Source organism: Homo sapiens, chromosome 7 (genome assembly GCF_000001405.40).
Source record: "Homo sapiens chromosome 7, GRCh38.p14 Primary Assembly".
NCBI classification, from domain to species: Eukaryota; Metazoa; Chordata; class Mammalia; order Primates; family Hominidae; genus Homo; species Homo sapiens.
In genome coordinates, this window is record NC_000007.14 from 26,636,302 (window position 1) to 26,647,731 (window position 11,430).

Below are 11,430 nucleotides of genomic sequence, written 5' to 3' on the forward strand. Positions count from 1 at the left end.
CACAAATAAGAGAAGAAACAAGTATAAAATGATTTCCTGTGGTATAGCTTAGAATCATGGGTATCACTATGAACTCAAGATCTTTAAAGAGGGCAGGAGAGAAGAAGACAGAGGTAGATGGGTATGTTTGTGCAGCTTAGCATGCACACATATATACCTAGCCCTCTGTTTTGAGGGCTTAAAAGCAATACCATTCCAATAACAATGGACCCATCTACAACATAGATCTTGGTCTCTCCACACCATTCTCCTGTAAAAGGAACCAGGAATCGTGAAGAAGTGGCTGATTCCCAAGCCAGGACATGGAAAACACAAGGTCAGTCTGAAACATCTTGTGGTGCCAGAAAATAAGAAAATGCTCAAAATAAAGATAAGAGTCTGTCAAAAGAGCTCGGGAACCAATGTGAAAGAGCGAAGAGCTGAGACGATCTGAGCAGCAAGATAAAGATAGCGTTACATTTTAAGCTAGACTAAAAACATCCACAAATACAATAATTAAACATCCACACTGATATGAATAAACAAACAAAAACCACATAAATAATGAAGGAGAAAAGACAGCGCTTCTGCACAGTGGAACGCCAATGAATACATGTAGAAGGGAAGAGGACAGGACTCCACAGAGTGAGCACTGCAGACAAGATCTGCTGAGGGATGCTAGCACTGGTGAGTGAAAGCTGGAGGACAAACAGGCCATGCCTAGTCTCAAAGCGTCAGCCTAGATACTTATCCACTGCAAAGGGAAAGATAATAACTTGACAGTGAGAAACCCAGCAGACACCACCTTAATCAAGTGACCAAGATCAATGTCACCAGTTATAAGATGTGGCTCTCATGAACCCCTTGAATGATGCACTGAGGAAGATGTGCCATGATTTTTGTGTATTCTCACCAAAAAGGCATAACCTTACCCCACTCATGAGAATGCACAAACAAACCCAAACTGAGGGATATTCTCCTGTGGAACCGATCCATTTTCTTCCAAAGTGTCAGGGTCATGAAAGTAAAGGAGAGACCATGGAACCGTTACCCAGTGGAGGAGAAGAAGGAGAAATACAGCTAAATGCAATTTAGGATCTTAGATTAGATCCTGAGCAGAAAAAAAGGACATTAGTGGAAAAAAATTGTGAGTTTCAAATAGGACTGTAGTTCAGTTAGTTACATTGTGCCGATGTTAATTTCCAGTTCTTAATAGTTGTACTATGGTTATATAAGATGGTGATATCAGGGGAAATGATAGAAGAGATATAAGGAAAGTATATATTACTTTTGCCACTTTTCTGTAAGTCTAAAATTAGTTCAAAACAAAAATTTCTTTAAAAAAATCCTATGTCCTTTCTTTTAACATTAGATGAGATATGTTGATTGAACTAAATAAAAAAGGACCAAGCATGGCTTTGTTTTCGAGTTATTTATGTATGCAGATTTCAGCCTTCTGGGTGAGCTTTCCTGCCGCTGAGTATCACAGATTGTTCCAACACTCACTTTCATCATTTCCTTCACGAGGAAAGAGGCCCACGAAGGTTAAATGACTTATATGAGGTCACAAAGTCACTTGGAGACAAAATCAGCAGTAGGATCTCGGTTTCCAGCCCAGTGCAATTTCTGCTCTATCCCGCTGACCTCATTGTTGAGGTAGGTGGTAATGTAAAGGGAAGAGCTACCCCTTATGGGATGTTTCTTTCTATCAGCCTTTAGAGGGTCAGGTTTATTTGCTGGTGGTAGACTGACAGCCCAACTACTTGATAGAAACCCTACGTTGATGTCAGAATGCTGGACACCGCAAAGCTCTGGGAAGCATCTTATAACAACGGCTCAACCATTTCCTCTTCAAATGTACTGCTTAATCACATAAGTTCCTGATACGGTTTGGCTGTGTCCGCACTCAAATCTCATGCTGAATTGCAGTTCCCATTATCCCTATGTGTCCTGGGAAGGACCCGGAGGGAGGTAGTTGAATCAAGGGGGCGGTTACCCTCATGCGGTTCTCGTGATAGCAAGTGAGTTCTCACGAGATCTGATGGTTTTATAGAGGCTTTCCCCTCCTTCCCTCTGCACTTCTCGCTGCTGCCACGTCGCAAAGGAAGTGTTTTCTTCTCCTTCCGCCATGATTATAAATTTCCTGAGGCCTCCCCAGCCCTGCGGAACTGTGAGTCAATTAAATCTTTTTCTTTATAAATTACCCAATCGTAGGTATGTCCTTATAGCAGTGTGAGAACCGACTAATACAGTTCCTTAGGAAGCCCCTGCTGGGTATGGATGGGGAGTGAAGCAAGGTGGGCCCAGAAGCTGCCGCTGGCTGAGAGACCATGAAGAAAGTGTATAGAATCTCCACCATCACCAGAGGAAGAGAGCTTGGCAGGAAAGTTACTTCCATGAATGGATGAGTTGAAGTGAACAGCGTCTTGGGCAAAACTGAAGGGTAGTTAGTCGGGTTTGTCTCTGGTGGGCTTTCAGCTCCACTCCCTGCATCCCATTCCCACATCGTGATGGTCCCCTCATAGGCCCAGGGCTACCACCTTGGAGCATAGGTGGGGATCCTCCAGCCAGGGTCCTTCCTTCACAGGGAGTCAGAGCCCTCTGCTCCGGAATTGCCCTGCCCCAGGTCGGCCATCTATCAAAAGCCCCACTATCCCCTAAAGACCCACCCTCAAGCAGCAGATGTGCAGCAAGGGAGCCGCAAATGTCATTCCTGTGACCCCGAAGCAGTCTAGTGTGTTACCTCTCTCAGGGCTGCTATGGGCTGAATTGCTTTTCCCCAAAATTTCTATGCTGCTTCCCTAACCCCCAGCGCCTCAGAATCTAACTCTGGATAGGACCTGTGAATAAGTGATTAAGTTAAAATGGGGTCCTGTGGATGGGCCCTAACCCAATCTGACTGGTGTCCTTTTAAGAAGAGGAAGAGACACCAGAGATGTGCACACTCAGAGACAAGACACATGAGGACACAGAGACAAGGCGGCTACCTGCAAGCCAGGGAGAGGGGCCTCGGGGAAGCCAACCCTGCCTACGCCTTGATCTTGGACTTCCAGCCTCCAGAACTGTAAGACAATAAATGCCTGTTGTTTAAGGCCCTGGTCCGTGGTATTTTGTTATGGCAGCCCTAGCAAATGGATACAGGGGTATTTGAAATGTAATTGAGAGAGTTCCTAGGAAATGGAATCACTGCCTTGATTTAGAGAAATTAATGGAGGAGTTGGCAGTGTCATGACACATGGTGGGAAAGGTGTTTGAGGGCCACTGCTCCTCAGGTCACACTGTGGAGGTGGTCTGCTCTGCCTGTGCGAGCCAGGGCTGGCTGACACAAACACACATGTGCACATACATCCCCCCCCACACACACCACAAACACAGACACACACAGACATAAGCACACACCCACACACACCCACCACAAACAGACACATGCGCACATCATACACAAACACAGACACACACAGACCACACACGTCATACACAGACACACCACATGCACATATCATACACAAACACACACACCTACCACACACGCTTCATACACAAGCACACACACACCTGCCACACATACGTACACACATACACACCACACATACACATACACACATATACACACACTACACACATACACATACACACATATACACACACCACACACATATACACACACCACAAATACACACCACACACAAGTATACACCACACACATACATCCACACACATACATATCACACACACAACACATACATATCACACATAGGCACCCACCACACACATCGCACAAAACATACACACACATAGAAGCATATTCACACCCCACACACACCACACACATACACACCACATTGCATGCATATACACACACCACACTCATACACCACACACACATACATATTCACATACACACACACACACGTGTGTGTTCGCGCTTGGAGTGAGTCCTTGGCGTCGTGAGGCACGCTTCCCAAGACCTTCATTAATTCCCCAAATCGCAATAGTAACAGTGGAAACATGGCTTTTGAGGGCCGTCTACAGACCCATCCACAGCAGGCACACGGGCTGCCCAGTGGCCTGCCGGCACCACAGGTCACATGCACATAGTGCTCTGCACGCCATAGCTTGTTTCAGCCTCCCAAGAGTGTTAGGAAGGCATTGTTTTCCACTTTAAAAAAGGACCCATGCTGTGACATTTGAGGTCACCCCAAATAGTCAAGGCCACCACGAATGCTACATCTACAAGTTCCATGTATGCAATGTACATTAGATATATTTTCTGTTCCCGGTCCTGTCATCTCCCCACTCTCCTGGGCTGGTTAAGATAGCTGCCTCCTGCCCCTCTCTCACCGCTCCGCACTGTCCCATCCAGTACCCAGTTGTTCCCTAAGTACTGTTGATTCTCATTTGTGTTGTTTCCACAGCCAGAATCTGAGTGAAATGGGTATAAATCATGAGCTAGGATACAGTTCAATTATTCCTATGATGAAAAGGTAAGTTATTTTCTGGACAGTTTTTCATGTAGATACTATTAAGGAGAAGAAATATCTCAAACATGTTTTTTCATGCAATTTTAGGAAATTCATGAACCCAGGTGAGTTCATTCTAGGTGCACAAACTCCAGATTAGGAACCCCTGGTATCCTGTGCTTTATAAAAATTATTTTTAATTGTGGTAAAATACACATAACATCAAGTTTACCATCTTAACCACTGTTAAGTACAGTCAGCAGCATTAGGTACATTCATATTGTTGTGCAACCATCACCACCATCCATCCCCAGAACACTTCTAACATGAAAAACTGAAACTCCGTCCCCATTAAACAACTCCCCATTCCTCCCTCCCACAGCCCCTGCCAATCACTATTCTACTTTCTGTCTTCATGAATTTAACTACTGCAGGATGTCGTGTACATGGAGTCATGCAGTATTTGTCCTTTTGTGAGTGGCTTATTTCACTTAGTATAATGTCTTCAAGGTCATCCATGGTGTAGCATGGGTTCAAATTCCCTCCTTCTGAAGGCTGAATCATATTCCATTGTAGGTACAGTCAGCCTCTGGATATCTGTGGGTTCTGTATCCATGGATTCAACCAAATGCAGATCAAGAATATTAAAAAGGCCGGGCACAGTGGCTCACGCCTGTAAGCCCAGCACTTTGGAAGGCTGAGGCGAGTGGATCACTTGAGGTCAGGAGACTAGCCTGGTCAACATGGTGAAACCCCATCTCTACTAAAAATACAAAAATTAGCCAGTCGTGGTGGTGCACACCTGTACTTCCACCTACTCGGGAGGCTGAGGCAGGAGAATTGCTTGAATCCGGCAGGCAGAGGTTGCAGTGAGCTGAGATTGTGCCACTGCACTCCAGCCTGGGTGACACAGCAAGACTCTGTCTCAAAAAAATATATATAAAATATATATATAAAATATATATATATAAAATATATATATAAAATATATATATATAAAATATATATATAATATATATATATAAAATATATATATATAATATATATATATAAAATATATATATTTACATATATATACACACATATAAATTGCATCTGTGCTGAACACGTGCAGACTTTTTTCTTATTATTCCCTAAACAATACCATATAACAATTGTTTACATAGCATTTACATTGTATGAGGCATTATAAGTAATATAGAAATGATTTAAAGTATTTGGGAGGATGTACATAGGTTACATGCAAATGGTACATTTCATATCCACAGATTTTGGTGTTTGTGGGAATTCTTGGAACCAATTCCCTGTGGGTACCGAGGAGCACCTGTACATGTCACATGTTGCGTATTCATTCATCGGTGGGTGGACACTGCAGCAGTCTCCATCCCTTGCCTACTGTGAATAACGCTGGTATGGACATGTGCTATCCTGCTTTTATATTTACAAACTCTTCACTAAATTATCAGATTCTCACAATGACTTTGTGAAGTACGTATCATGATTACTTTCTCATTTTTCAGATGAGGACACTGTGACTTTATATGGCCATGTTTCCATTGTTAATATTGCAATTTGGGGAATTAATGAAGGGTTTGGGGAGCATGCCTCACAATGCCAGGGATTCACTCCAAGTGTGGGCACACATATGTGTGTATACGTATGTGTATGTGTGTGTGCGGTATATGTGTGTATGTGAGTGCAATGTGTGATGCGTATGTGAGTGTATGTCTGTGTGTGTGTGTGTGTGTGTGTGTTGTGTGTGTGGTGGATGTGTGCGGTGGATGATGAGTGTGTGGTGTGTGTGATGCATATGTGTGTGTGGTGTGAGTGTATGTGTGTGGTGTGTGTGTGGTGTGTGAGTGTATGTGTGTGGTGTGTGTGTGGTGTATATGAATGTGCATGATGTGTATGTGTGTGTGCATGTGATGTGTGAGTATGTGTTTTGTGTGTGGTGTGTGCAGTGTGTGTGTGATGTGTGAGTGTATGTGTGTGCTGTGTGTGTGTGTGGTGTGTGTGTGATGTGTATGTGAGTGTGTGATGTGTGTGAATGTGGGTTGTATGCATGTGTGTGATGTGTATGAGTGTATGTGTATATATACTGTGTGTATATATAGCTAGGTATAGACATAGGTATAGAAATATTAATAGAATACATAGTTTTGTCCATGGTTCCTGGCCCATAACTCCCATAGCCCTTTTGTTACCATGTTGGGTGCTTTAGGCCTCAGAAAACAGAACCCTTCTCTCTGACCTTCTCCTGCCCTCCTTTTTCTCCCCAAGGCAGGAATATTCCCCCACCTTTCTTTCTTGGAGCTGACCCTAAAGAAAATTTCTGACCTACCTTGCCTGACCGTAGGTCATAAGACCCCCATTTCAGAAGGGGTCCCGCCCCATCCCTGGGGAAGGAAAGCCACACAGACAGGCCAAGAAGGATCTGGACAGACAGGCCCTGCTGGGTTCCCCACTCCGTCTGTTCCTGCTGGATGGTACCCTTTGTGTCCAATCACCTTTCCACATGGTTGTCCGTGCCTCCATCATGCCTGTCCAGTGATGTCTCCGTAAAGGCCAAACAGGATGGGAGAGGATGAGCTTCGGGATGGCTGAGCATGTGGAGATGTGGAGGGTGGCGCGCCAGGGAGGACTGGGAGCTCTGCGCCCCTCACGTGCCTTCTCCTATGCGTCTTCACCTGTATCTTTCCTACTGTTCTATATGATAAACCGGTCAATATAAGTGTCTCCCTGAGTTCCATGAGCCACTCTAGCAAATTAATCAAACCCAAGGAGGGGATCATGGGATCCCCAACTTACGGCCGGTCAGTCAGAAGCACAGGTGAGAACCTGGGGCCTGGGGATCAGCACCGGGAGTGAGGTGAGTCTTGTGGGACTGAGCCCTTGGTCTCAGTGGCGGCGGGGGGGGGGGGGGGGTCTTCTGTGGTCTCCAGGTGTGTCGCGCCAGAACTGATTTGGAGGCCCCTCAGCTGGTGTCTGCTGCAGAACTGACTGCTTGTTGGTGGGGAGAAATCCCCACGTTTGGTCGAGAAGTCTTCTGTGTGGATCGTTGTGGTGTGAGGGAAGAGGAAAAATCATTGTGTTTTTTCCTACTCAGACACAGAAGCTCGAAGTTCACAGTTACTGTATGATCAAGCAGGGTTTGAATGCAGGTTTTCCCAAATCAAGAGTACTTGAATTTCAGCTCCGTTGGTTAAACATGGGGACCACACATATCCTTCAGTTGTTTTTGATGGGGAAAGGAATACTGTTTAGAAAAGTATCCTCCCCAGGACTTCACTGAATAATGGAAGGTGGGGATGACACCCTTGGTTTCCAGAATAATCTGAAATATTCTCAGGGGTCCTGAGTGAATACAACGCTAATCCCCATGAAATCTTTCCATTCTGGGCGCTCCTAAGGCCTGGGGTAAGAAGGTAAGGAGGGGATGCATCCCCCAAGCTCACAATGATGGGGAGGCACAGAATCCCATGTCTGTCCCCTTAGACAGCCTCCTTCCCCTAGAGAAAAGGGGGCTTGATGCCTACAGAACCCAGGCTGGATGGGAGGTGGGGGTGTGAAGAGGCAGCCTGGGCACTAATTCCTGGGAGAACTGGTACCCACAACTGCTCTACTAAGCCTCGCCTGCAAGAAGAGCTGTCCCTGAGCCCTGTTGAAAGGCTCCAAAACATTAACTGCCTGTAATTTTGACATGTCAGATATTTAATAAGGAACAAATTAGCACTTGGGTCTTTTTTTTTCTGAGACAATCCAATTTCTATGCCAGGCACCAACTTCTATATTTCAAAATGCATTTTTGAAGGTTAATTAGAGAAGCAGCAGAGATAGTGTTTTCCAAGAGGGATTTTTCTAGTTCCTTCCAGGTCTATGGATGGCAGAAAAAAATAACTTTCAGACACTGTAAATTGAGTGCGTGAAGCTGTGAGAATAAACCCATCTCATTAGTCATTGTGTCAATTATAGTATCTAAGGAACAATTTTGTAGCAATAGCATATTTATTTGATGTTTCGAAAGCTACCTGGACCCACTGTTAGGAGGTATTGGCTCTTAATGCTCCGAGTATCTCTTTAACAAAATGGCACTCCATAAAAATTTAGTGTGTTCCTACTGTAATTAAATGGGCCTAGTCATTTTTGCATTTATGATATAAACTATAATGGCTGTAAAATCCCGCAATTAACTTTCCTTGTGCCAACATTTCATACTTGAGAAATTCTCATTACAAATTTCATTACTGATTCACTTATCTGTAATTTGTCCTATGTAACCTAAAGAATATTAACAAATTTAGAGTCACTTTTGCTCTATTAAAAAAGAAATATAAAAGTCTTTCACCTAGTGAGTCAATCATGATACTTCAAAAGACCCCCAGAATGGGTCAAGTGTGATGGTGAGGACGGGAAGGAAAAGAGAGAGCACATTTGATTGGAAAGAGCAAAGTGGATGTGGAGGAAAGTAAGCAGGTGTCATTGAGCAGGCACAGACACACTTGAGACCCAGGGGAAAGTGAACTGAACACTGGAGAAACGACTGGGGAAGTAAATGAAGGGCCAGGGTTTCCTATCCAGGGGCCCGGAGCGCTTACCACTTCTGCTTTGGTTCTCCTCTCTGGTGCTTCTTTCTCTCTGGGGTCAGGGCTGGCTGGTGTGAAGCCTGCCGCAGTGTAACCCACCCTTCTGCCAGGTTGCTTTGGCAGGAATTCTGTCCAAGAAACTTTGCTGCTACCAATGGCAGTGGCAAGACGGAAGAGGAATTCATCTGAGAAGGTCCCCACCTAAGGGATACGTGTATTTCGATTTTCCATCTCCCTAGGCACGGTTGTCTTGAGAGGAAATTTGGAGAAACTTTCCTCCTCCTTTAAGCCTCCTCTTCCCGCACTTTTAAGGCAGAAACGAAAATACATCCACATTTAAGTGAAGTGAAAGTTGACTGACCTAGTGTCAAGAGCCCTGAATTCTCATCCTTGTGCTGTAATGATCTTGCTGGTGACTGTGGCAAGTTTTGTGACCTGTCTGGGCCCAATGGCCAGACTAGGAAAGGGAGGAGTTTCACTAGGATGACAGCTGAGACCCTATGTTCTTCCAAGAACAGTTCATTTTCTGGTAGAGAAAGCCAAGAGCTTCTCTTTACCCAACAAATGGGTGGTGCGGGGTGCCCTGACAGCCACCAGGTACAGCACAATGATCTCCACGAGCAGCAGCCTGCGTAAATATTTTCCCCAATAACATCTATTTCAGCACTTCTTTGCCTTCCATAACTGCATTTATTTTATTCTAATTTGTAATTAACTTTTACAAAATTAAGTTGGAGATGGAAAATTACTGTCCCGACATAAATAACCCTGCCGCTGGATGTGACAGTGTTAACGCAATCAACAGGATGATTCATAAAGAAAGAAATGTTGTCATACTTATTACTTCTGTGCGCTCCATCTTTTATAGAATATTACAGTGTGAATTGAAATTTTATATGATTTAATAAGCCTCAAAAAGATATTATGGCCAAGTAACCACATAACTGTAACAAATCGTCCTCCTCCCTCATTACAGAGCTTTCTCCGCATGTGGGACTCTCGGCCTCATTATGAGTGGCATCTTTGACAATCCAGGGCCCATTAAAAACACCTTGAAGAAAGCATTCACCATGCTGTGGAGCTTCACAGTCTATACCAGGCTGGAATCCTTGAGGGTGGCATTATCAAATGAGGAAATGGTTCCTTTCATTTTTCATCTGAAGACTCAGACAGCAAACATGTTATCTGGCCCTATAAGCACCCCGATGCTTCTGTGAAACCCAAGCAAGTTCTGCATCACCACGACAGCCGCGGATGTCAAATCATCAAAACAGCAGCAGAGGAAGGGGTTTATTCCTCCTCCAAATCTTCAGCTGGTTTTATAGGGTTACCAGTTTAAAGTTTCTTTGTTTTCAGAGCATCAGACCTCCCATTTGTAGCTGATAGCCATTTTTCAAAGGTTTCTGGCTCACCCAGGAATTCATTAGGGTGGACGAGAAAAGAACAGTGGATAGAATAGACCAGCAGGGCAATCTAAGCCCCATTCCCTGTCTCTTTACATTGGTTCTTGGTCCCCGTGACTCATCCAAACTCCCTTATATTCCTATCTGGAATGCGAAAGCTGGAAATACAAGTGCTCTGTAATCACAGGCAGTGGTTTTCTTGGAGTCTGGTGTGATTTCTGTAGCTTGCAGCAATATGTGGGACACACTTGCACTGAAGAATTTAATGACTTGTTTTACTGCTGTCTGCCATCAATATTTATCTATATTAACTGAAGAAAGGCATTACTCGAAATGGCATTTCACACCTCTGAGCATTATACAGTAATTCTAAAGTCATACGTTGTACCAAATTCTCTGGGCAAACACAGAGATACAGTATGAATGGAAAGAATCCAAGTTGAAGTTTTTAAAACTTGAATTGTCTGCAGTAATCTGGAAAACCAAAGTCAAAATGACTCGAATTGCTATGGCTGGGAATGACTGGATTAAAAGCAATGGAAACAATCGTTTCTCGGCTTGGTTTTTCTTGAATTAGCAGGAGCACATTTCAAGTATATTTAATAGAAAAGAAAAACTGGGCCAGGCGCCGTGGCTCATGCCTGTAATCCCAGCACTTTAAGAAGCCGAGGTGGATGGATCACCTGAAGTCAGGAGTTCAAGACCAGCCTGGCCAACATGGTGAAACCCCATCTCTACTAAAAAAACCAAAAATTAGTCGGGTGTGGTAGCAGGTGCCTGTAATGCCAGTTACTCAGGAGGCTGAGGCAGGAAAATCGCTTGAACCCGATAGGCCGAGGTTGCAGTGAGCCGAGATCGTGCCACTGCAACTCCAGCCTGGGTGACAAGAGCAAAACTCTGTCTCAAAAAAAAAAAAAAAGAAAGAAAGAAAGAAAAACTGACCAGGTGTTAAGACAATGCAGATGCATGTCATGCTTCTTTCTGCACTCAGGCAAGGAAGGCTGA

General features: G+C 44.3%; 1 long non-coding RNA gene across 2 annotated transcripts; it reads left to right on the forward strand.

Annotated features, from left to right (window-relative positions):
- Positions 1-1,569: 1,569 nt before the first annotated feature.
- On the forward strand, positions 1,570-10,971 carry LINC02860 (long intergenic non-protein coding RNA 2860). 2 transcript variants are annotated; one of them, NR_161201.1, is made up of 4 exons: positions 1,570-1,635; positions 2,194-3,043; positions 4,395-4,463; positions 9,999-10,971. It is a non-coding gene; the product is annotated as a long intergenic non-protein coding RNA 2860 (long non-coding RNA). The 2 variants fall into 2 exon arrangements; NR_161202.1 differs by having other exon boundaries at positions 4,399-4,463.
- The last annotated feature ends 459 nt before the right edge of the window (positions 10,972-11,430 follow it).